The following is a 27573-nucleotide window of genomic DNA, read 5'->3' as shown; positions in this document are numbered from 1 at the left end:
ACCAGTATGTTCAGTGATGCTGATCTTTACTACATATCTGCTGTAAAATATGAAAAGTGGATTGCTAGTTTTGATGTTATCTAGGTTATCATTTGTGACTAAAAAGACCTGTTTGTTACTCTGGTTCTTCTCCACTATGGCTTTATGGACACACTGACTGACATTATAGCATTTGTTCATAGCTTTGTTTGTAGAATGGGGTGCTGTGAGTTTGTACCTCAACATACCTAACCCTTGTTGAAAAGAAACTAACTAGGTGATCTATTTTTACTGAATACAGAGTTTTCTGTCTTCTGAGGGTTTTCTTTCCCCCCTCAACTTTGTTTGACACACAGTATGCCCTGTAGGGCTTCTTGCCTGGTTTCAAGATCTGGCTAGCACAGCACTTATACAGGTAGTTTGTACCAAATTAACTTGCCCTGTGCACACATGTCCACTTCAGTCCTTCACCCAGTACCGCCTTTGCCTCTAGGAATCTTAGCCTTCCTTCAAGGCCCAGTATAACCTCCACTTTTTCATTGAAGCCTTTGCCGACTAGTCCAGACTTGCTGTTCCACCGCAGAGAGCTCCAGCCCCTCTGATCTTGTGTTTTCTCCTTTACGTATCATCTAGCACTGTGCCATCTACTGCACTGTACTTGTCACTGATGATCTCATGTGTCCTACCCTTGTCTTCCTATCTAGGCTATTCACTTCTAGAAACCAAGAACTCCAAATTCTATTTACCCTAAATCTCCTATGGTCACTAATATCATGCTAAGTGCTCAGTAAATCTAATCTATTGATCAAAATGAACAGGTCTCAATTACTATCTTCAGTCTGACTACTGGAGTTACACTTTCCTGTTATTTATTATTTATTCTAGTTATTTATTATTGTGAATCTAGTTATTTATTTATTATTATGAGAACATAGTGGCCCATTTGCCTGTTTTCTCTTTGCCCTTCTTCTGCCTGCTTTAACTCCTTGTACACCTTCCACCAATCTAAAATCTGCAACTAGCAAGCCACACAGAACTGAGCTTGGGGAGTATATCTTTGAATTTACAGTCAGCATCCAGGATGGTTTTCTCCTTAGTTCTCTTCTCTGGAGTAATTTTATCATCGCCAACTAGGAAGAGATCTTGAATGCCCATTTCATTCATTCCCCACACCTGCAAGCAAAACAACTCCTAAACTCATTGTTCAGATTAGTGTTAGGTTACAGGCCAAGAACCTGCAGCAGACATAATGTGGATTAGAGAACATTGCGCTAATCAAAGACAAATAAGGAGTCCAGTATGAGGGTCAACGTTAAAGTCTTTGGAAACTGAAAATTTTATTCAGACGAAGGCCATTATCAGAGTGAGGCACAGCCAATGCACCATCCGTGGCTGGGACGTGGGGCCCCACAAGTTTGTTCATGGTGCTGCCCAAATAAAAGTAAAAATAGACAAGAATTGTCAATTGTACGATGATGCTTTAGCGAAACATATTCATGTTTCATGTTTTAACAATGTCATCTATTGAATGATTTGACAGTATATTATTTCTTAACATTCCAAAACTAAAAGTCATACTCTTATCATTTTCAGCTTCGCAAGTCTGTTTTCAGCATCAGGGCAAGGAACCTTCTGGAAAAGGAGACCGCAGTCACTAAAATCTTAAGGTAACACCAATTAATGTTGACACATATTTAAACACAAGTGGGATTATATTAATCGAAAAATAGCTTTTTGAAAAATGAATTAATGTTCTGGGCATCAGCATATACTTTCTGCCAGAAAGTAGCTTTGAGTATCTATGTACTTATAAACAATGTAAAAGACATATTGATGTCATTTCTAAAAAAAAATTTTAGTAGCTCAGTAGGCCTTTCTTTCAAGTATTTAAACATAAATGATAAGTATAAACATTGACCAAAAGGTGAAAATAACTTACTGTTATTTTTAACAGTTTTATATCTTTTGTGATATGTAAAGGAGAAATTGCAATCTAAAGGATAAATGGTAAAAGGGTAAACTTTTTCATTATAGTTCATTACACTATTAAGAGCACATTTATTAAAAATCCGGAAATAATAAAAAGTATACCAATCTTAGAATGCCTATGAAAACATATGCTTTTAATGCTACTTTCTAGAAGATGCGCTGAAATGAAGTATCAAGGAGGAAAACTAAGCAACCGACTTGAGTGTTTTATAAGACTATATGTTATATTATGGAGTAACATGATGAGTATAAAAACACATAGGCATTTAGAATATCATTTATTGGTACATATATTACATAGACATATGTAGATGACACAACTCAAGATTGGGAGCTGGAGGTAGGATCGCTCGCAAGGCGAGTGGACAGATTCATGCCAGGAAGCCCCCTGCAAACCTGCGGTGAGTGATAAGGAGTTCTAGCTCCCTTCTACTAGATTTATTACTAGGAATAGACATTAATGCATTCTCTCCAGAATGCATATTACTATAACTTGGAAGACTGTGTGAGAAAATAAAGCTTAGTATATATGATCTTTAAAACTATTCTTACTTTATAATACTACCTAAAATTTGTGTGCAAAAAAAATTTCCTAACTCATCAAGACAGTATTTCTCTCAATATTGGCTGACGTTCATGCATAGAGTTAAGTATGTGTTGGAGTAGCTGTCATAGGATGAAAATAAGCATTTCTAGGGCTTGTATATTATCACCACAAAATGTGATGAGATAAACAGACAAGGTCTCATTGAAATAGACAACCTGCGCCCCAACTTAGGCTTACTCCCGACTGGCTGGTAACTCCATCCTGGTATTACCATCAGATCATGCAGTGAGGCTGGCCTTGAACCACACATGTTACATCAGGATCATGATTCCAGCTGCACCTACATCAGACAGGTTCATGGTAGGGTCCTACAGCAAGGCTGATCCACTCACTAAAAAGAGAAATTCACCCTCAAGCCAGAAACTACCTACAAGGACATCATAATTCTCAGTCTGCATCGAGTATCTGCCTGCCAAGTCAGGAACTACAGGGACCTTACTCACCTGTCCAGAGCCACTGCCTTGCAGTGTGAATGGGCCCTCTGTGTGAATGGGTTCCCAGAGACTTTCCAAGGCAGATGCAGAAACAGATACTGGCAAGGAAGAGATTTCCAGACCTCACTTCCCTAGGAACTCTTCCTTAAAACTGATCTATCACTTTACCTTTTTCACCCTCCTGTCCTTATTTACCCCTCTCTCAGTTTACAAAAGAAAGGTGAAACTCTCACTCATCCGGAAACTATGGCGTGTATTAATCTGGGATGTAAAATCCTCTGGGTTGCCAAGCAAAAGGACCGTTCCCACCTGGATTTCTCCAAAAAGAGGGTCCCATGGGGCCGTGCCTTATTATTTATCCAGGTGACAGTTTTATGGATAACTTCCTTCCCAAAGCTATCCACCTTAGATTAGGCCTTAGAAATAACATGATTGTCACAAGGGCATGTGGTTACATGTTATTTGAATTGAAAAATAAAGCCAGACTTTTTCTGACAGATTCAGCTGATTGGTTCAACAATGAAAACTGATTTAATAAGTGCCCAATGTCATAAAATTGAATAGATTGGATGGCGAAGAGTCTCCAATATTTTCTTAAAATTATTTTCAAGCACAAACACAATAATGCTAGAAATTACATTCTTCTATTTAACGTGGTGCAAGAGGGATATAGTTGCTGATTTTTAAATATACAGAAGTGTTTTTGTTTTTTCAATTATATAATGTACATGAGCAATATTTTTAAGACTATCAGGGAATATAGACACCTCTAACTTGCCTAACAATGGTGTAGTTTAGGGGATACCCACAGCCAATAAATAATATTTTACTGCAGCCCAGCATACTACAGAATGAGAGGCAGCACCTTAAAACTACCTGAGCTATATCACCTTTTGAAACTCAGGAAATAAAAAGCCATAATTTGAAAAAATAAAAAACCTTAGAATTTTTTAAAATACAAATTTGATCTTAGAAAGCCATTTTGTTTTTTCTTCTGTGCGAATGGTTTCTTCATTGCTTCTATGCTAGTTTCTGCATGAATTAAGGGCAAGTGCAAAAAATCAAACTGATATTTTGGGAATACTTATCTTTTCACCACTAATCGTAGTAATAGTAATGGCAATGATACCATACCTGCATTATAATGTGATCCATCAGTTAAAAAGTCAAGAATAGATTGGGTCCATGTCAATGAGTGTTTGTATTGTTTTATACTGTTTTTCAAGGAACAATAACAGCTAAAAGGAAAAAAAGAGGGAGAAAAAGAATTTTTTTTAAAAAAAAAAAAAAGGAAAACATTTGCAGTAACCTCAGGACAATTGATTCGAATAACCTTCCACAAAATTGGGAAGGAGAAAAAGCTCTCCACCACTTTTTCAGTGTCTTTTTACTGCCTCTAGGGACTCCGCTCTCCTAGGCTCCAACCTTGCTGTCGATTAAACTCTGCCAAGGTTCCTGGATAACTTAGCAGTGGGGTCTCCCAGGACCATTTGCATTTTGAAAGAAGGCTTTTAAAAAATGAAAGGGCTTTTAAGACAAAGAGGATGCAGATTCTGTCTTTTAATAGATGGGTCTATCTTGATATAAATAAAAGAAATCTGGAAGAGACTGCCGTTTTAGTGTTCTATTCCTCTTAACTTTCTAGGTGTTTTTAATTTCATAGAATTATTGTCTTTAGTCTTATCCAAGAGGTTCCTCGCCAGGGAGGTAAGTAACAGCAGTATAGGGAGGCTTGAAAAAGAGACCTGAGCTGGATCATTCCGGCAAATATCACAGGTTGGCATTCGTCCTAATTTGTGTGCAGATAGAGATAAATCACAAAAACCTTAAATCCAGAGTGATATAAGAATAGGAAGTTTTTATGAAATATTAGCGTCTTGAGATAACTTTCCAAAAAATAACAAGTATTTGGGAAAAAATAAAGCAACCCCTTGACTTAAGGTTTCTGGAGGCCTGGCTGTGTAAACAGACAATTAATTTCAATTCTCAGCTCTCTTGTCTATTCCATGGGAGCTAGGAGGAGGCGATCTTCAGGGCCCCTGAAGATCTAATGTAGGATACTGGACTTGGTGTTAAATCCCCCCTGGCTGGGATCAGGCTCTGCTTCTCTGTAACATTGAACACCTCACTAATCTGACCCTCAGTTTTCTTATCTACCTTAAAAAGATTGTCTGAATAATCTATTGACCAAGCAAAATTTAATACTTATTCCAGTAAGGGAAACTGCCACTTTGTTTTCATAATGTCTCAGAAGGGATAAGTGAGAGGTGGATATATGTAAGGTTTTGGGTTTGGGTTTCAGTGTTTGTAGGATGGAGGTCTGTTTAGACTGGGCAGAATTCTTGATATGAGTTGAGGAGTATTGAAGATGCCTGGTATGGACAAGTAATAGTTACTGTTCTGAAGACGGCAGTGCTGTGGTTGAGGACCAGAAAGAGAAAGCGACCTGCCTGGTGCCTCTCCACTGCTTTCCATGTTCTTTCCCCCGGCTTTGGTTCAACATTTGAGTAATCCATTCTTTACAGCGAGTTTGCCCTTCTATTTTCATTCTCCTTCTTGACTTGGGTGATCTAAGAGAAGAAAAATAAATGGTGACCTTATGTTGTCCTCTTCACACATGAAATTTATTTTTTCTTTTGTGCCTTTCAGATTTTTAACCAGACACATGTATTACCTTTAACAAACAAATACAACTGACTTTTATAGTGGTTTTTTTTTTTTTTTAAGTTTGGCATTGATCCCCATTGGGTAGAGTCTTCACAAAAAATCCTAATGAATACCAACTATTTGTAGGTGACTAGCTTGACCAGTTGAGTGACCTACTGTCTGGAGAAAGGGGTTGGCCCAGCAGTCTATAGTTCAGATAAATGAATTTGTGGGAAGTGCCTGAAATCAACGGTGAAGTTGCTGACTGTTTAACAGCTTTACCTTCCTGGACAAGTCAAGTCATATTGACGCAGAGGCTCAGCTCTCAGCCCTGGAAATTAAGCTGGAGAGCTGCCAGGGGTCTTAGTTCTCAGGGGGGACCCACATTTCCAAATATCCATCTTCCATTTGAAACAGGATCCACATTATTCTAGCAGAAAGTATGTTATATACATTACTATGAACAGGAAATTCCAGCCCACAGAGGAAGAAGTCTTTCAGAGAGGAAGGGCCCTAGAGCCTGAGGTATGTAACTCACAGGTAGAATCACCCATTTCTATGTATAATCATCTTTAATTCATGTTCTTGTACTTTTGAAAATTAATTGATGTTTTGAGAAATATAAATGAATTTTTTGATATATTTGAGAACTCTTTGATGAGAAAAAAAAAAGTGGGCCATTTTTACAGAACTTGAGGCTACTGGCCCATGCTAAAATGCAGATGATTCACTTGGCACAAACAGGCATCTGAGTTGTTGTTTTTTAAGAGTTATCCGAAGAGGATGTTCCACTACCTGAATTATAAAATCCAGGATTGCTATTAAATTTATTGTTGTTCTGACTTAGACTGTATCGTTCAGCTCCACTAAATAAAGCTTCTTTTCAAAAGGCAGTGACCTTTTCTCTCATCAGGCGAAATAAAAAACAAATAGCAATGTACTTTCAAAAGCATCACTACCTTTGTTGAGATTTCCTCTAATTCAAAGCCCTGAAATCGAGCAAAAAATGCATTATCGTTCCTGCAAGGCTGAATGAATAGAGAAATGTTAAAATAAAACAATTAAACATTTTACATTAGTTTAGAAAGTTCCATCCTTGTGTGGTTTGCCATGAGTACCTCCTTAGTGAGGACAATATATTTATAACCTTTCGAATGCTCAGTCTCGTATGATGTTTGCATTCTGACATTTGGTTTTATAACGTAACTTTCTTTGCCATGCACTTATATTAATAACTGTTTAAGTCTTAAGGAATAGTCTTTAGTTTAGTGCTACTTACTACAGAAAAAAATTAAACGGATTTAATAAAATACATAGAGATAGTTTTTCTCTTATCATTTTAAAAGAATCATTTAATGACTATAAATACAACTTATATACTACTTACATATATATATAATCACTATGTATTTATTAATCTGCAATTATGTAAATGACATTAGCTGGATTTTTTTTCCTGAAAGAAAGTGCCCCTAAGAATTCACGCATTCATTCGAGAAATATCTCTGTAGTGTCTCACATGCCAGGCATTTCACACCATTTGCTTTTTCCCATTTGGAAAGTTCTCCTTTTATAATTATTGTTCCATAGGTTAGCCAGCTATTCAGCAACTTTGGATAAGGTCATATTATTTCTCTGCAGCTCCGCATTCTGGGCAGAACTAGCAAGACACCCTGTACACTGCTGGGAGGGCCTGAGTACCTTACAGCGTCCCCTGGACCTTTGAGCTCAGCTCCTCAGTGGAAAGGGAAGGTGCTGGACTGACCCTACAGATGAGAGAAAGAAACGACAGAGACCCTTGCAGCCTAGGGTTTGTGCCAACCCCTGAGATAGCAGCAATTTTTTTCTTAGCATTTGGTATGAATAACCCCAAGTTTTAAGAAAATAGAGTATGAGAATGAATGTCATAAATATTTATCTTTGCAATTCTATGAAGTCTGCCTGGTTATTGTTGGCTTTTTCTTAAGATTTTCCTGACACTTAAAAACTCTGATAAGTTAGTTGAAAGACTATTTGGAAATAAGCTAAGTAGATAGATGAAAATTAACTGTATTCAGACAACCATAAACTAAGGAGACAAGATGTGTAGATATATGTTTTTGCATAAAACATAAAATAGTAAAGATTTAAAAGTGGCAAAATATAACTAAAACAAAAATAATATATTCTAATCACATTTTTAGATAGTACCTGATTTGCGGTAATCAAAATATGTTATATTTTATTGAGATAGCATATGATTTATAGATTGTTTTTAGTTAAGCCCAAAAGTGATTATAATAGTGTTATGGATTAGAAGGGCTACTATTGAGTTTTACCAAACAGATGTGGGAAGTTTTTTTTAATAGACTATTTTTTGAGCAGTTTTAGGTTTGCGGCAAAATGGAGCAAAGGTACAGAGATTTCCCATGTACCTTCTGCCCCCACACAGGCACAGTCTCCCCAACTATCAACATCCCCATCAGAGTGGTACATTTGTTACAATTGATGAACCTACACTGACACATCACTATCACGCCAAGTCTGTAGCTGACACTAGGGTTCACTCCTAGAGTACTATAGTCTATGGGTTTGAACAAATATGTGATGATGTGTATCTATCATTATAACATCATACAGAGTAATTTGAGTGCTCTAAAAATCCTCTGTGCTCCACCTATTCATTCCTCCCTCCCCACAAACCCTGGCAACCAATGATCTTTTTACTGTTTCCACAGACATAGAAATGCACATAGAAATACATAGATATGTGTCTCCATAGACATGCATTGATGTTGATGGCAGCTTTATTCCTAATTGCCAAAACTTGGAAGCAACCAAGATGTCCTTCAGTAGGAGAATGGATAAGCAAACTGTGGTACATCCAGACAGTGGAATAATTATTCAGCATGGAAAGGAAATTAGATATCATCATGGAAAGACATGGTGTAAACATAAATGCCTGTTACTGAGTAAAAGAAGTCAGTCTGAAAAGTCTACATACTGTATGATTCTAACTATATGGCATTCTGGGAAAGATAGAACCATGGAGATGGAAAGATATCTTAACAAGGTCTTTCTTTTGTTATTTTGTCACTGGAGAGTAAAGTAGTAAAGAAAAATGGAATACATATCTGTTGAAAATTGGCCAATGCAGTTCCTGCAGCATTTACAAAATTTCACTTTTATTGTAGTAAAAAGTTCAGCCTTTGCATTGTAATTTGCATGTTTCGGAGTCAGTAGTTGGGTTACTAAATTTGAAGCCCAGTGAATGATGCGGGGTTGCAGACATTTTTTATGCTGAAATTTAATAGATGCACGAAAGGCATGGATTTCTCATGAGTTAATTTTTCTTTTTTGTTTATAGTATGGGTATAAGTGCGTAAGATAAAGACATTCAAGGTTTATTTTATTTTCTGCCTACAATGAAGTTCTGGTCGCCCATGTATTTACATGCCTTTCTATGAAAACATTTTTATGAATAACACAAGATTGGGAAGAACTAACTGGCAGTTGCTATGAAAGAGCCAGATCCATTTACTCAGGATAGGGCTGACTCACAAAGGAGTGGGGTATCCACTAGGATAAAAATGCAGCTTTTTCCTCATCTCAGCAAGAGGCCATTACCGACGAGCTCACCCATTAGCATCCGCTGTTGTCTCTACTTGGGAAGATCACATTGTCACTCTAGTGGAGTCAGGTAAGAGCCATTTCCAGGAAATACTCATTATCTATTCTCTTAGTTATACAGTCATAGTTTTACATAATTACCACTGAAAGACTATTTTCCTGTTGTCTGCTAATGTGATTACATTACATTAACCAACCTTGGATAATACTTTTAAATGAATTACTTGTGGAGTTCAAGATTTGAGCAAAATCCCTCAAATGTAATGCTCTGCAAAGTTATACTGCAGTTCCTTTAGATGGTAATTACGTTTAATACCAGACGGTATTGTGTAATCTAACTTTTCTATAATGAGTGAAAATAATTTGAAGACTCATAGGCCTCTCCCTTTCATTACAGAATGTATAGGCTTTTTCCACACCCTTGTTCTGGGACATTAAGAAAGAAGACATGGAGACAAAGAAGAAAAGAACCGGGGACCCCCTGCTACTGTGTCTATAAACAACTAGTGGTGTTTAAAGGCTAATAAAGCTCCAAAGATCTCTCTTATAACCATAATCTTTGGGCCAATTTTAAAATATTTTAGATGGAGAAATGTCAAGAAAAATAGAGACAATTTCAAGACATGATTCTCTTTCCCCAACGTCCATAAAAGATTATATATATATATATATATATGGCTGTCATATAAGGAGCAATTGAAATTCCACAGCACAAAGGCAATGCAGGGGGAAAAAAAAGGATCAATCTTTCATATTATTTTTTCTCAAAGGCTTGGCAAGAAACCAGGGGTAATATTTTTGCAACTGGGAATGTGTGTTTGCTGAAGAATATTCCCACATTTGAATCATCCTCAGGGGTCCTCATCTTGTTTTACTTTCAAAGGTAGAGAGGGCATAACATTAACCCCAACTGGGAAAAGGAAAATGCCTCACTGTAATTCTCCTCCAGGGAACAGGAATAAAGGGATTACATATGCCTGCATAATGAAGAATTTCCTCACCCAGACAAGACAAAAGACTTCATTATTTTTCACCAGACACTTGAAGTCTTGTGCCTCCCAGTTGCAGAAGCTGAGGAGGCAGGCCAGTTTTTTATATGAAGCCACTAGATGGAGTTCCTAAGAAACTGGCCTTCTAGTACTTGCCATTGTGAAAAGATCTAGGGAAGATGTTAAAAACCTTGGTACCTGACACTACCCAGTCTTTCCTCTAAGAAAAGTGAGACTGTCCCTGAAGATCACAGTATTCTTCCAGTAAAATTAGCCTTGCCTTTACTCTGGGAAGCAAATAAATGAGCATTTTCTTTCTGAAAATGCACCTCCTTTGTCCTTACATGAGACCAAAAGGCATCTCAATACTAATGAAAAATGTAAAGTGGCAAAATATAACAAAATGGAATATTCAAGTTCTTCTCCTTCTGGGTAGGTCTGTTACTTCGTAACTTTAAGGATGTATGCATCTCATTTCTTATATAAAATATTGGAAGTCTCAAATTTTGTAGTTACTCACTATTTCGGCTTGCAAGTATTAGATTCCTGTAAGAGGAGGTATATGGAGACTATGTTCCCAGCAACAGATCTGATCTCCAGTTAAAGAAATTGAACTAAGTTCACCTGCTACAGCCTGCTCTGCTCCCTCTTGGCTTTCAGGCTTCCCTAATAGCTTTCACATACAACATAGAGAAAGATGTATGAAGTTTTTAGTCGTAAGAAGCAATGTCTTTTTTTTTTCATTACTGTCTCTTCTAGTGTAGGTATGCAGCCCATTATTCTTGAGTGGCATCATATTCTAACTTGAGATAAAATTAAGATTATTTAACTTGCCCCTTTAAAAGTATATTTTAAACACATGCTGTTTTGTCCGTGATTATTTTCATGCTTCAAAAGCAGGGAGTGATCAGAAAAGAAAATATTTGATCTTCACGGAATTTCAAGGTTCATTCATTCCACAAATATTTATTGAGCACCTACTGTGGATAAGAGCTGAGAAATAATCATGACCAATTTTAAAGAAAACCCTACTCTCTTAGAGCTCTTTGGAGCATGGCATATGTGACGAACTAAAAGAACAAAGAAAATGGCATGGAGAGAACGAGGTTCCTCCTGGTAAAGATGAGACCAGAAAGGGAGGTTAGAGGGACACTAAACGGGGCTGTGCAAGCCATGCTGCTCGTTAGGCTTAGTCTTTTTAAGGCAGTGATAATAACCGCATTCGTGATCTATTGCTGCAGGACAAATTACTCCAAAACTTAAGTGATTTAAACAACACGTTTTTCATCTCACAGTTTTAGTCAGGAATCTGGGCATCCCTTAGTCATGTCTCTCTCCAAGCTGCATGCATTTGGACTTGAATGGGAAGAGCCCCACTCAATCGCATGGTTGTTAGTGGATTCAGTTCCTCGTGAGCTGTGATATGAAGGCCTCAGTTCCATCCGGTTTGCTGGATTCCTCCCCAAGTGGAACTCTCCGTAGAGCACCTCACAATATGCAGCTTGCTTCACCAGGGCAAGCAAGCAAGATGGGAAGAGCAAGTCAGCGAGAGAGAGAGAGAGAGAGAGAGAGAGAATGAATATGCTATGTAGAGTGTTATAACATCCACCATGACGCGGGAAAAGATACAACAGGAAATAATAGCAACTAAAATTCAAAGAAAGCGTTGATGTTTCCAAAGCACTGTCACATTCATAATCATCTTTACTTCTTCCAGCTCCCTGTGAAGTCAGAAGGAAAGGCATTATTGTTCTCTGCATTTTACATATGGGAAATGGAGGCTTAGAGAAAGCACATCACCTGTCTAAGGTCCCACAGCTTATAAAAGCTGAAGTCAGAAGTGTGTGCTTTTAAAGCTTATGTTTTCTCAACTCATCTTCTCCATTAGGCTTCCAGACAAAGGCAGAACTTTCCATCAGCAGCTGCACTGCAGGGTGCACTTCTTTGAACCATGAGAGGCTAGCAAGTTAGGGATGGGGTCACACAGTCCCCACGCACCTGCCGCTACCCTCCCTACTCACCCCTCCCCACCTTTTCACTTACTCATTCTGTTCATCAGGCAGCATGAGGGCCAGAAACTGAACTTCCTAGGAATGGGAGGCTGAGTGATAAAGTGGTCCCTAATCAACTCACAGCCTAGTAAGGGGAATAACTAATGATAACAAAATGCCATGAGCGTTAAACAAGCTTGGTTAATAACATACTGTAGGAACATGGAGTATAAAACAAGTCTTTTTTTGTGCTTTCACATAGGTGAAATATTCATTTCTCATTTCATGTTACTTTTCAGAGCCCATTTATATCAGTCTGTCATTATACTGTGCATGTTAAAACACTATTTGGTATTTATTTCATGGTTTGCCTTACTGTATATGCTTATCTATAGTAACATTGTATTCCCTTTAAAAAATAATAAAGCAAACTTTTACCATGCTTTTGTATGAACCTGGGCACATTGGATTAGAGTATATGTAACCTCTTAGCAGGTCTGATTGTGTCCAACTGAAGTTCATAGCTTTCTGCCAACACTGTTATTTTCCAAAATAGCAAAATTTCTTACATGACCAACAAATGTGACAATGGCTTAGGCTGTACAAGGCTGTTTCATTATGCAGAAACGTCCTATCATGGGAATCTTTCTATACCTGTCTCAATGTCCAGGTGAGCTCTAGGCCAAAGGGTCATAAAACTTCCTTCCCATTGCCTTGCTCCTGCATCCACCGTCCAACCTCAGGTTTATAACTTCCATCTGCGGTCCTTCCCTCATTCACCAGGAACCTGTGTGTGGCCAGTGGTCTCCTTGTATAATGGAATAAGATTTTTCAGAATGTTCTCGTTAGACATATTTATATATCTGTAGAAAAGTTGCTTCATGCTGTTTAGTAAATGAAAAATAGTGATTATTTAGGGTTTGTTTCCAAGAATACATTTACATTCAGTGAATTTGTATGATTTTTCATAGATATTCACCATAATTATCTTCATCCACATTAAAAACATTTTTAAGGACTTAAATATGACATATTTAGTAAGTTCTTATATAATGTATTACTATATAATAAGTTCTTATATGATGTATTATATAAGTTCTTCTGTAATATATGTGTTATATTTAAATACTTAAAAATGCTTCTATTATACATGTATCATAAGAGCTGCTATTTTAAGTGCGCTAAGCACATACAAATCTTTTTCTCAAAGATCTTAATTCTCAGACAGATGGTAATCATATTCAAAGCCATTCAAGAAATGCATTTTAAGAAACATAAATGTGAAAATAATATGTAAAAAATGGCAGAATTGTGTGTTCAGGTGTTGAGCAAATAGAGTATCATTAGATTTGCATATCATAAAATCATTGCATTTTCAACCTGTGAGCTATCTTTCAGAGCAAGGCTTTCTCTTCATTTTACCAATGAGGAAGTTAGGCCCAAAGATCACTCAACTACTTCATAACAGTGTAACTTCTGGCACACAGGTCTTTTAATCCCTTGTGTTATTTTCTTGCCACTTATCAACTATCTCAAGGGAATTCCTGTCATTCCCAGTTGGAGAAAATTTTCTGGAGAATAATTTTTTTTTCTCACCAAAATCATTCACACCACAGGTGTTAGGCCACCCAATTGTCTTCACTCATTAGCAAATCAGAAATTAACACAAGTCCAGTTATTGTCCAAAAAGAACATGTTTTTAAAAGTCTTCGTGGTTTAAACAAGTGGTAACTGGTTACCAGTAAGCTGCAAGCTTCAGATTGAGGTTTCTGTAGGTAATAATTCCAAAAACTGTGTGCTTTTTTTTTTTTTTTGAACTGTGGTTTTAAAAACAACACATAACATTTACCATCTAAACCATTTCTAAGTGTACAGTTCAGTCGTGTTAAGTATGTTTACATTGTTGTGCATAATTCCAGCTTTAGTTACTTCTCTTTATGACTCATTTTTGCTTGTAAGCTTATGTTTTCCTATCTTCCTAAAGTTCTACAAAATCTCCTTGGAACATATATTTAATCATTCCAGGAGCCTGAGTGGACAAATCCTTCCCAAAGGGGGTTTATTAGAAACCTTGTTTAAATTCAAAACCGACATCATGATTGCCTGTGTGTATTAATCTGTTTTCATGCTGCTAGTAAAGACATACCTGAGACTGGGCAATTTACGAAAGAAAGAGGTTTAGTGAACTTACAGTTCCACGTGGCTGGAGAGGCCTCACAATCATAGCAGACGGTGAAAGGCACGTCTTATATGGCAGCAGACAAGAGAAGAGAGCTTGTACAGGGAAACTCCCCTTTTTAAAACCATCAGATCTTATGAGACTAATTCACAATCACGAGAAAAGCACAAGAAAGACCTGCCCCCATGATTCAATTACCTCCCACCGGGTCCCTCCCACGACACATGGGAATTCAAGATGAGATTTGGGTGGGGACAAAGCCAAACCATATCACTGTGGGTAGGCTGGCCTTCTGCTTATGGTGTCCTGATAGAAGCTCTACCATTATTTTTGGAAAGGAGGGAGGAGGCAGAAGGAGGAGGGGCAAGAGGGGAGCTTTCTGTTTATTTTCCAGCCCTTCTTCATAGCTGTGATACTTCTGCTTTGTAAGTGTTCTTGACGCAGAGCGTAAAGTTCATTTTCCTTTATAATTATACGTTATTTGCTGTATTTTGTGTTTTCATTGGTGTTGCCTTTAAAATAATAAAAGTAATGAGCACTTATGTGTTATTCATCTCAAGTGTACAAACCATGCATTTATCTTGGGCTCCTTTTTTTTTCCTAGAGCTTGCACCCGACAGCGCATGCTGAGCGGATCATTTGAGGGGCAGCCCGCAAAGGAGAGGTCAATCCTCAGCGTGCAGCATCATATCCGCCAAGAGCGCAGGTAAATACTTGGGAAGACAGGGCTTCAGAGACTCTAAAAAAGGGGGGTTTTACAGGAAATGGTCGCTGTACACAGTCACGGCTGTCAGCCCTGGCTGCCAGACAGGCATGGCTGAGGAATCGCGTTCTATTTGCTGTTTGTTACAATAATGAAACACCTAATCAGATCCAAAGATTCAAAAAAATCTCTACTTCACAATCCTTTTCCTTAGAGATGGCCAAATTCTCACCTTTAAGATCAGAAGGAAAAATTCTGAATTTTGTTAGATGGGATCAAAGACATTTGGAGAGAGTATAAGCTTCTGCTATGAAAAGAAATCATAGGCATTTGTGGCGTTGTAGCAGAAAAAGTGTTTTATTTTGATTTTATCATGGTCACTGCTTGAAAGGCCAGTTTGATCTTGAGATGTATTAACCAGTGCCTGTGGTTGTTTTAGGTCACTAAGACATGGATCAAACAGCCAGAGGATCAGCAGGGGAAAATCTCTTGAAACTTTGACTCAAGATGTAAGTTTTAAGCAATGCTTTGGATTTCAGAAACGTGATTATGAAAATGTATTTAAATGACTGCTTAGACAATGCCCAGTGTCTTTCTGCTGCATTCCCATGTCTCCTTAAGACTTCATACCAGAGGGAATCAGGAAACTCAGGATATGAATTATGTAGCCAAGTATCAGAAGTAACTGTTAACAGCAGAAAACTCCAGTCATCCCACACAAAGCACATGTCTTAGTTAAAATAGTAACACAAAAGTGTCATTATCAGTTGGATTTGACTTGAAATTAAAGACATTTTAAGCATTGTATATAGGATTGATTTGCATCATTGACTTTGAATATTCACTGAGAATCGAATATTCTAGAATCTAGATCAAGGGTCTATAATTTCAGGGCTTTATATATTAGGAAGTGAAATTTTATTTCTAGAAGAATTTTCCTGTCAAGGACTACCTAGTATTTCCCAGGAAAGCTTTTTGCTTTTAGACTCTAAGTCATGGATTTATTTACTGGCTCTATAAATAGTTATCAAGTGTTTGCTCTGTGCTGGGTTCTGTTTTAAGGAACGAGGAGCAGTGGGGTAATAAGATAGACTCAGTGCCCTCCTGGAGCTTAAATTTTAGAATAGGAGACAGATAATAAGTTCATAAAAATATAATGGAATTTCTGGAGTGATTTCTTTTTATTTTCCATCATCTCTTCATTACTGTGACAGATTTGCTTTATAATGTAAAGTAAAATGAAGTCATGTAAATAAATCAAAGGTGGGGATTTGGGGGCAGGGAATTTTAGATACGATGGTTATCGTAGACCCATCTGCATTATCCCGGAGACCCAAATGAAATGAAGGAGACATGAAAAAAATGCAGAGAAGCCAAGCGTTATATGGCCCAGCAGCTATACCATGCAAAGATTACAATGAAAGGTTTGGGAAATGCATATTAAATAACCGTAATTATGAAGCCCTGGTAAAAAGACAGGCGTTAGGTTGAATCTGGATGAACTGGCTTAAAAAGTAATCTTGAATGTTCAGAGCCAAGGATGGCACTTGAGAAAGGAGGGCTAGCAAGAGAAAGTTAGCAAAGCCTTGGGGTTATTTCGTTTTTCTCTTTTTCACCACTTATCTCTTATTTCTTGAGCTTTTGGAGTGCTTGCCTACTACATCTGCTTTCATTCTGTAGAAACTGCTGTTTTAGTCCAAGTACATGGTTTTTATTAAGTGTTCCGGGCAAAATCAAGAGCGAGAAGTTGGCAATGAGAACACCTGATATCACCAATACCCTATAGACATGGTTCTAGTTGGCACAGAGCTCTGTTTACCACCATGATTTTTAATATCCATAGCTCTATCTGATTGGCTACCATATTGTTGACATAGAATTGCCATCAAATCCAACATATGGCCTGCGCAACTTAGAACTGCAGAGTCAGCCATATTGCACGGAGAACATTTTCAGGTGAAAAGTCAAAGAGGCAACCCTCATTCAAAGCGCCTTCAATATGTTTCAACCGAAATGTACAACCTACTTAAGAATCAAATCAGAACATGTCTTTGAAAATAATGTGTTTAAACATAGACAGCAAAGGCCCTATTTGAATAGTCTCAGTGCCGGAGCTTACTTCTTCAGAGACTTCCTACCCTATTTTTCATGTAGAAGTATAGTAAAATCCATCTCCCACCTTCTCCATAGCAAAATGCCATGGGGTTCTGATCATTTCCAATAAATTCTTATAATGTCTTTTCTCCCACAAAGGGGAGATTTAAATTAGAGAATTTTAACTTTTTCACTTATTCTGAATGATAGCAGACACAGATAATTAAGTCTAAGGAGTGCTTTCTGTAAAATCTACTGAGTTACTGGAACTCTGGCCTTGCACCTTCCATGGGGTCCATCTAAAGGGCTGTGAAGGGCCTGCATGGCCTGCTCACCTCTCTTAGCTTTACCCACACTGGCATCCTGGCTATTCCACATGTAGACACGCCAGGCCTGCTCCTAGCTCTGGAAGAACACATTTCTGTAGTCCTACCACAGCCTGCACCCTCACCTCCTTCTAGTCTTTCCTCAAATAGCACCTTCATATTGAGGTCTACCCTGACCTGTTCATTTAAAATCATAATCTTCTAGCCTGTCTATGTCTCTCTATGCCTTTCACCCATTGTGATTTTTTAAAAAATCGGATCACTAAGCATCCTCTTACATACTTATTTTGAATTATTTTTTATCTGTCTCCCACTGACTAGAACATCCTATGAGAATAAGGATGTTTTGTTTCCACTTGCCATATCCTGCACACTAGAATAGTGCCTGGCACATAATAGGATTTCAATCAATATGTGCTGAATGAATTACTTTTTAGAGGAACAAATACTCTTGCTATGAAGACTGTGGCCATTAAATATGTACATTTAATCGTATACATATTTTATATACTGTAAATTTATATATTTAATGTAAGTATATACATTTACTTTAAATTACATATTTAATGTAAATATATACCTTTAGTATAAATATACATAATTATAAATATATACATTTCATATAGATATATATTTATTGTAAATATATACTTAGTATAAATATACATATTTAATGTAAATATATACATTTAGTGTAAATATACATATTTGTTGTAAATATATACATTTAGTATAAATATACATTGTAAAATATACATTTAATATAAATATATAAATATATGTTTAACAGTAAATATATGTAATTAATATTTATACTTTATATTGAGGGAGATATTAGTTTTAAGTTTTTTAACTGATAATATATTTTGCATTCAAAACCCTCCTGTTTTAACACACCCCCTGTTAATTTATTTCTAGCATTCCAATACAGTGAGATATAGAAATGCACAAAGAGAAGACAGTGAAATAAAGATGATTCAGGAAAAAAAGGAGCAAGCAGAGATGAAAAGGTACAGGTTGCTGCAGTGTCCCATGGCTCTCATTCGGGAATGGCAAAATTTCCCTTAGCCTCATTCTCCCATGAATTTCTCCTTCAAGGAAAGTGCAAGAAGAGGAACTCAGAGAGAACCACCCATACTTCGATAAGCCACTGTTCATTGTCGGGCGAGAACACAGGTTCAGAAACTTTTGCCGGGTGGTGGTCCGAGCACGCTTCAACGCGTAAGTACACTTCATTTCAGCCAGGTGTTTGGCCTGAGCCATGCAAACAGCAGGGGTGTTGTCATATGAAGAAGAAGGAACGTGTAATCCTAATGGGGTCACAAAATAAACTGCGGACTAATTAATCATGCTGCTCCTCTTTGCTGAACACCCGACCAGGTGGAAAACAAAGGTCGCAAGTAGTTAACATTTATAGAAAACTCGCATTGATAAAACACAAAACAGCCATTTTCGTTTGTGCATTTTAACAGTTTCCTGATACACTTATATCGGCATTATTAACTCCATATTTTATTTTGGAAGTACTGAGACAAAAGGAGACTAAAGGACATGGTGAAAGGAAGGTCATTGTCCATGTCTTCCATGAGGCTTGTAGTTCCTTTGTGGTAAAAATACCTCAATTTGTTTTTTGGAGAATAACGTAAAGTTGATTAGTGCTTTCATTACCAACTGTTATAAGAAGGAAACCCACTGTTCACTGTCTCTACCCTACCAACATGGAAGAAATGTGTAAGAAGCCGTAAGTAGAGTGGACATTGAAGACACTAGTTGTGGACACCTAAGCCAAGTTTGACAGGCAACAAATGGATGAAATGGATTTTTGTCAAGCATACCTGTATGAGTCCATTTTCATGCCACTGATAAAGACATACCTGAGACTGGGTAATTTATAAAGAAAAAGAGATTTATTGGATTCACAGTTCCAAGTGGCTGGGGAAGCCTTTCAATCATGGTGGAAGGCAAAAGGCACATCTTACATGGCAGCAGACAAGAGAGGGAAGTGAAAGCAGAAACCCCTCATAAAATCATCAGATCTCATGAGACTTATTCACCACCACAAGAACAGTATGGGGGAACCGCCCCCATGATTCAATTATCTCTGACTGGGTCCCTCCTACAACATGTGGGAATTATGGGAGCTACCATTCAAGATGAGATTTGGGTAGGGACGCAGAGCCAAACCCTATCAGTACCTTTAAGTAAATATTCTGAAGACATTAAGAGTCATGGAGGAAATGAGAAAACTTTCCATGTTCCCATTATGTAGTTGGAGTGTCCCTGATGCCATCGTTTAAGTAAATTGATTTCTTTGTTATTAATTAGTAGCATATGATAATCACTATCTGTTATGGACTGAATTGTTCCCCCTCCACAAAATCCATACGGTAGAGTCCAAACCCTCAGAACCTCAGAATGTGACTGTATTTGGAAATAGGAATTTTAAACAGGTTAATTAAAATGAGATCATTAGGGTGGGCCCTAATCTAATATGATTGGTTTCCTTAAGAGAACATTTGGACACAGACATATACAGAGAGAAGACCTTGCGAAGACACGTAGGGAGAAGACGGCTCTCCACAAGTCAAGGAGACAGCCCTGGAACAGGGTTTTCCCTCACAGCCCTCAGAAAGAACCAACTCAGCTGGCATCTTGATCTTGGATTTCCAGCCTCCAAAACTATGAGAAAATAAACTTATGTTGCTTGAGCCATCCAGTCTTAAGCACCAGTGGTACTTTGTTACAGCAGCTCGAGGAAACTAATACACACTATTATAACATTTCAGGGATGGAAGAGACCTCAGGGACCACTCGGTGTCATTTGTGTGCCCCCTCCTTCAACAGAGGAGGACATTTAAGCGTGCAGAAGTTGAGGGCTTTGCTCAGGGACCCAGCTACTACCTGGCTCTCTCTTGATTGCCAGACTATTGTTCTTTCTGCTGTTCTATAAAGACTTTCACAATTTAAAGCAACTGAGTCACAATTATTAAAATCTTCCATGAGTTTTCAAAGTAAAGGAAGAAAATGCCATTTTGGAGATTGATTTGATCAGTTCTTGAAGTACGTTTTTTTTATCTTGAATTATCCTGTTGGCTGCCTGTACCTTAACATCTCATGGTTAATTCTCCACTTCACTTAGTGTGATGTAATTTCCCTTTTATCAGCAAGGCAGCTGATGTTGAATACAATTGATGAAGACTCTGTTGTAATTGGGGACACATACACAAAGACTGTAAGCAATCTCATTGACAGTGCTCACAGGCTTCCTGAAAGTAGAAACAACGACTCTCCCTTCCAAGAAATTCTAAATAAATCATTCTACCACATCACAGTTAAATGCAGGGGGAAGAAGTCTATTTAAATTATGGAGTATTTAATTAAATAATCTTGAATAACTAACATTCTTGAACTATTAAGGCAAAGATTTCAAATGAGTGTTTTTAAATGAAAGTCAAAACTTAATTTTGTACTACCCATGTCAGAAAATTCTGAACAAAGTCACAAAGTCTAAAATCAAGTATTTTGAGAAATATAAAACTTTATTTTCATAAGCATCAACTGCAAATTCTTTGGATTTTTTCTTTCATCAATGTTCTCTGACCTCCAGAGTTACCTACAGTTAACATATTTTATAATGGACATTGTAGAGAGGCTGTAAAAGAGATTTTAGGTAGATGAGATGTTTGCAAATATGATTTTTAGCAAGTTAAAACATGCTTGCTTTGTTGCAGAATTTTATATATGTGTTCTCTTACAGATCTAAAACAGACCCTGTCACAGGAGCTGTGAAAAATACAAAGTACCATCAACTTTAGTAAGCATCACCAACTTCATTTTCCATGCACATTTAAAGTTTTCATGTACTATTTTATGCTGCATACAACGATTAAAATTCTCTTTTATTTTCTTGCTATATAGTGCTATGAAATAGATGATTGGGGAATGATGTTTTTAAAATACCAGTCATGTTGATAGAGCCACAGAAGCCATCATCTCTAACTCTTAGAAGCCTTTCCTGGAACCTTTATGTTTCTCAATTTTGTTTGGTCTTTGGCAGTGATTTGCTGGGATTGGTCACTTACCTGGACTGGGTCATGATCATCGTAACCATCTGCTCTTGCATTTCCATGATGTTTGAGTCCCCGTTTCGAAGAGTCATGCATGCACCTACTTTGCAGGTACCGCTTACCGCTGCAAAATCTCAGCTTACAACTAGGAGGTAAAATACTGACCTGCTGTTTTTCCGTTCATTGTAACCAAACTGCCTTTTGCCCGTTTCAGATTGCTGAGTATGTGTTTGTGATATTCATGAGCATTGAGCTTAATCTGAAGATTATGGCAGATGGCTTATTTTTCACTCCAACTGCTGTCATCAGGGACTTCGGTGGAGTAATGGACATATTTATATATCTTGTAAGTCTTTGCTTATTGCCTAAATGAAAAATGTAATGGTTTTGTAAAATCTCCTGCATTTCTTGGTATAAGCGCAAGAGGTATGAGTTACAGAGGCTTAGATTCCCTAACCGAATTCTTAAATGGACTCTAGAGTAGTTCATTATATGCAAATAAGGGCCATGCATGTAAAATCTAAATTAAGAGCATCATAAATATCTATGGATAGTTATATTGTTCAAATACACTAATCACAATTTTATGTATGAATGAGACATACATTAATAAGGTCTAACATGGCAAATCTAGTTTGCATCCCACAAACCTTATGGCTTCTATACTAAAAAAAAAAAGTTTGCCTCATATAAACCATGTTATTGATTATGAGCCCCTTATTGCTGAAAGCAAACTAAAGTGATTGTGATTGTATCTCTCTCCTGATTCCATTGCATAAAATACCTGGCTATAGCAGTTGCCCATTCAACTGTCTAGTAAAACTCGCTGGAAAACCATAGAAATGGGCTCAGAGAATTTTTTATTTTTCCTGTATGTCCAAGGAGGCATGAAATCAATGTCTTTGCAGAGACAACAAGGAGAATTGTGATCATTAACAAGTAGCATGTTGCAGGTCATTAATAAAATAGCAGTAACCTTGATAAAAGGAATTCCAGCCAGATCGACATCAGTGGAGCCTCCAGAGTAGTAAGTTAAAAGAAGAGGCAGAACGCACTGGTGTACACACACACACACACACGGTGTGGACACCCCCATTTCTTTCCTGCATACACATGATGACTTTCCTTTGAGGTACCTAGCAAGTCTAGATGAGGTTTGTTGTTTAAAGTTAACAGATGGCACGTACAACCAGTGAGTGGAATCTCTGCTAAATGAAAAGTTGTGGCCAGTCGGCTGTCAGAAAATGTAAATAGTAGGGGATGAATTGTATAAATTCCAGAGATCATTTGTTCCCCTTTAGGTGAGCTTGATATTTCTTTGTTGGATGCCTCAAAATGTACCTGCTGAATCGGGAGCTCAGCTTCTAATGGTCCTTCGGTGCCTGAGACCTCTGCGCATATTCAAACTGGTGCCCCAGATGAGGAAAGTTGTTCGAGAACTTTTCAGCGGCTTCAAGGAAATTTTTTTGGTATGTGAGAATTATCCTTTGATTCCAGTTCACAGTAGTCCACCTCTAATGCAGCTAATGAGGGAAAAGTGAGTCTTGCTTATTGAGGTCAATTCAATAGTTTTGGTTATTGCCAGAGGGTAATGGAGGCACTAACAAAACACAATGCACCTTCAAACACTTTACTCATGGGCACTTCTGGCGTATGAGTTTATTTAATTCACCTAAAGAGAAGCACTCTGAGATTTGAAAGAGTTCCTATCTGCTGACTCTTTCGGTACTAACCTCTTGACTCTAATTCCTACTCTGGGTTTTAGTTTCCTCCCATCTGAAAATGAAGGATAAGAAGATTCAACACTGTGTACTCCACAAATGGGATTAGGAATTCATGCTTTTGGGCTCCTAATCTCATTCTGTGTGTTCCTGAAATAATATAGCACAGAATTTGTCTTTAGATCTCAGGAGTGTTAACATAAAACAACTTTAAAAATGCAACATATAGGTATAACCCACTTCAATTAACTTCAGCATTACAGTAATGAGTGATTACAAAGATGATTGAGGGGGCAAAACGTACTTTCTAGCTGGGCAAACATTGATTTAGGGTCTTCTGAAAACAAGGTCAGAGATAAAACAACAAGAAAGAGGCTCATTGTTCACAATCTGTTACAGAAAGATCTTTGCCTTACAAAACAGTGATCAAAAGTTTTTTTTATTATTGATGAGGTCTGCTTGTGCATGAGAAGCATGAATTAATTTACATAGGCTTGTTTTGTATCTTGCTTTCTAGAGACTTACCTGTGATGAGAAAACAGCTGTAGTTGTAGTTGACACAAATGTATTTTAAAGATAGATTGTGATGTTACTAGAGGTATATATATCATTACTGACTTTTTTTTTCTTTTTTTTTGAGACAGAATCTTGCTCTGTCGCCCAGGCTGGAGTGCAATGGCGCAATCTCAGCTCACTGCAACTTCCACCTACTGGGTTCAAGAGATTCTCATGCCTCAGCCTCCCAAGTAGCTGAGACTACACGCATGTGCCACCACTCCCAGTTAATTTTTTGTATTTTAGTAGACACGGGGCTGCACCATGTTACCCATGCTGCCCTTGAACTCCTGACCTCAGGAGATCCACCCACCTCAGCCTCCCAGTTGCTGAATTTCTTTTTTAAGATGGGTTTAAAAATTCTTGTTTTCTTTATGCAAAGCCATAAAACAGTGACTCTTCACACAGCTGGAATTAAAAGAAAATATCACCTGACTGCTAATGTATATGAATCTTTTGATCAATAATAAATTTTAGAGGAGAATTTGTGCCTTTCCCTAATGGTGGTCAGTGTGATTTTAGTACACTTAGGTATATGTTTAGGTTATTCAACCAGTGCAGTTCACTTGTTCCATATTTTGCCCTCTGCCACTCGTCTCTGCTGAGACCAAAGAAGTCAGCCAGCAGAGGGAGCATGAGTTAATTAACAGATTTGCTCTTCAGGACTGAATTCTCTCCTCTCCTCTATGCATAGAACATTCTCCTAACGCACACCTTCACAGTTACAAGACAGCTAAGCCACTGTCCCGCTCATTTGTGCTCTGCTAATAAAAATATGAATCCAGGCCAGGCATAGTGGCTCACGCCTGTAATCCCAGCACTTTGAGAGGCCCAGGCGGGTGGATTGCCTGAGGTCAGGAGTTCAAGACCAGCCTGACCAATATGATGAAACCCTGTCTCTACTAAAAATACAAAAATTAGCTGGGCTTGGTGGCGTGTGCCTGTAGTCCCAGCTACTCGGGAGGCTGAGGCAGTAGAATTGCTTGAACCCAGGAGGTGGAGGTTGCAGTGAGCTGAGATTGCACCATTGCACTCCACCCTGGGGGACAGAGTGGCACTCCATCTCAAAAAAAAAAAAAAAAAGAAAAAAAAATAAATATATATATGTCCATTTGGGAAAAAATAGACAAAATATAATTACTTAAACATTTTTTTCCTTTGTTCCATTAAATAAAAAAGATCAAGGTGTTGATTTTAAAGTCAGAAAAGTTCAAGCCATATCAAAAATACCTTATTCCATTTTCTTACATGAAATTCATGTTTCCATTTAAAAAATTCAAAGCTTGTTAATTTTCTCCTTTTGACCTTCCAGTAAGGCTAATTGTGTGACCTATGGTGGAGAAGTTAAAATATATCATCAAAAACCCATGATTTTTATACAATGTTATCTTAGAAGTCCTATTTATGTCACTGTTTAAACCAAACCTAATATTTAGTCTTTAACAAGAGATTTAACATTTCATCAATTTCTTTCAGGTCTCCATTCTTTTGCTGACATTAATGCTCGTTTTTGCAAGCTTTGGAGTTCAGCTTTTTGCTGGAAAACTGGCCAAGTGCAATGATCCCAACATTATTAGAAGGGTAAGATGTATCTTTCTGTCTTTTGAAATAAAAATTAAGGGCCAAGTGTGGTGGCATGTGCCTACAATCCTAGCACTTTGGAATGCCAAGGAGGGAAGATTACTTGAAACTGGAGGTCAAGGTTGCAGTGAGCTATGATCTCACCACTGTACTCCAACCTGGGCAACAGAGCGAGAGCCCTGTCCCTAAAAAGAAAACAAAATAATAATAAGGTGTTTACACTCCCTTGGCAAGCATGTGGTACCAGTGGCTGACAAGCCTAGTTTAAGAACTCCCTATAAAACCCTAAGAATTCTCTTCCCACAAACCCCTTTTTGCTTAAGCATGTGATATGTCTCTTCTGGCTAGAAAGGTTAATAAGATGAAAAGCACACCTCAGAGAATGTCACTCTTCCCTCCTATTCCAGTGTCAACCCACTGTTGACAACTTGAGTGTGGTCACCCAAGATTCCAGCTGTTTACAGCTGTAAGCTTTGGATACTTTCCCTTGAGGTCTTAGCTAACTTGATCCTTCCTTTGTTGTCACATAAGACTCATATCAGCAAACAGCCCCATGCAAAAATGTCCAAGAAGCAGCGTTTGGTTCTCACCACTTTTTATTGCTTCCCCACTCTCAGCTTTCTCCCCATTAGAAAGCCAGTGCCTTTACATTAGCTCTAGCTGCCCAGAATCTCCCTCTTTATGACAACCAACAAGGACCTCCACAAAGACCCAAACTTGAATACTTGCACTACGGCGTTTCTTTCTCTTTCTTCAGTCATTGGTTATAAGGGAAGGCTAGCTGCTGTAACAAGCCCAATATTTCGGTAGCTTCACATAATGAAATGTATATATTGCATCTTGGATCAGTTGCAATATATACATTTGCAATATATACACTATATACAGCTCTCCTCCAAATGACCACTCAGGGACTCACATGCCTTCTATCCTATGCCGCCACCCTTTGCCATGTCTTCAGAGCCTTCTTCAATGAGCTGGAGATAACAGTGGAGAGCCATCTCCAACTGAGTGGGCTGTGGGAGAATCTGCTCCACCCACATTCCTCTGTAAAGAGCAGAGATACTGCAAGGGGGGCTGGAATTTAGTTGTGTGCTCCAGAAAAATAAAAGGGGGACACAGTTTGGTTAATAATTAGACAATTTTTGTAATATCATAAAGTGTCCCATTCTCTTAGGATTCTTATGTTACAAGTAAATTCATAAAGTAAACCAACCACTGCTGATGTATAAACTAGAAAAGCATTTTCTCTTTGATCCCAATAAAATGATGCCTCAGTTCCTAAATGTATATCTTCAAAAGGCCTACTAGACCTGAACTACATTATTTATTTCTAGCAAATATGGCTATCTAGTATAGATTTTAAATGATACAAATTGTTCTCTAATTGTGACAAAATACAGGTAACATCTTTGTTCAGCCAAAATACATTATAAATTATATTAATAATGAGAATTTGAAACAAAGGCCAGACTGGGAGAGACATTCCAAGAGCTTTGATACACCTGAGAAGACAGAACAAGGAATGTGGCCTGACGGTCATGCCGTATCAAATTAGCTGATAAAGAAAGTGACAGAGACCTGACGCATTCATCCACAAGCTTGTGTGTGGAAAGAAGAGTGATTTTTGATCCACACTGAACAGAGGCCAGAAAGATAATAACACTTCAGGATGAAGCCTGCTAGGAATCTTGGATGACTCAGTATATTAACAGTGGCCTAAGAGCATGGTGATTTTACATTATCCACTCATACCCAGCCAAAGCTGAAGATTGATGGTGACAGCAGCCAGCAGATGAGCATAGACACAGATTTCATGATGCATTTATCCTGTTTCCTAGAGCAGTGAGGTCTGTGCGAGGCTCAGATGGAAAGCCTAAGGAGACTCAGCCATCATAGAGAGCACCAGCACCAAGCAGAACGATTGAAAAGAAATTGGCACGGTGAGACGGGGCTTGAGTCTTTTTGTCTTCTCAAATCCAAACATAAGAGGCCGAGGCCGAGGCCAAAAACGCCATGAGTGAAGGTGACGTCGGCTGAAGTTCTGTTGGAGAACTTCAGCCCATCTTACTAAAAGAAGAGATAAATCCAAAGAAAGGGGGA

The 27573-nt window shown here is 37.9% G+C and overlaps 1 protein-coding gene across 10 annotated transcripts in view; it reads left to right on the top strand.

The window, feature by feature from the left end:
* Positions 1 to 27573, top strand: part of NALCN (sodium leak channel, non-selective) — a 363404-nt gene that overhangs the window by 290926 nt on the left and 44905 nt on the right. For 8 of the 10 annotated variants that reach the window (XM_011521069.3, XM_011521067.3, NM_001350751.2 and 5 more), the window contains 10 exons: positions 1573 to 1646; positions 15028 to 15129; positions 15566 to 15635; positions 18465 to 18556; positions 18645 to 18767; positions 21304 to 21360; positions 21604 to 21724; positions 21828 to 21959; positions 22915 to 23082; positions 25366 to 25470. In XM_011521069.3, the coding sequence (XP_011519371.1) occupies positions 1573 to 1646; positions 15028 to 15129; positions 15566 to 15635; positions 18465 to 18556; positions 18645 to 18767; positions 21304 to 21360; positions 21604 to 21724; positions 21828 to 21959; positions 22915 to 23082; positions 25366 to 25470 (1044 nt within the window). Of the gene's footprint in view, positions 1 to 1572; positions 1647 to 9247; positions 9335 to 15027; positions 15130 to 15565; positions 15636 to 18464; positions 18557 to 18644; positions 18768 to 21303; positions 21361 to 21603; positions 21725 to 21827; positions 21960 to 22914; positions 23083 to 25365; positions 25471 to 27573 lie in introns of all 10 variants that reach the window. The other 2 variants (XM_024449336.2, NM_001350748.2) reach the window with 1 other exon arrangement.

Source organism: Homo sapiens, chromosome 13, assembly GCF_000001405.40.
Source record: "Homo sapiens chromosome 13, GRCh38.p14 Primary Assembly".
Lineage (NCBI taxonomy): Eukaryota > Metazoa > Chordata > Mammalia > Primates > Hominidae > Homo > Homo sapiens.
This window is presented reverse-complemented; position numbering and strand designations above follow the sequence as displayed.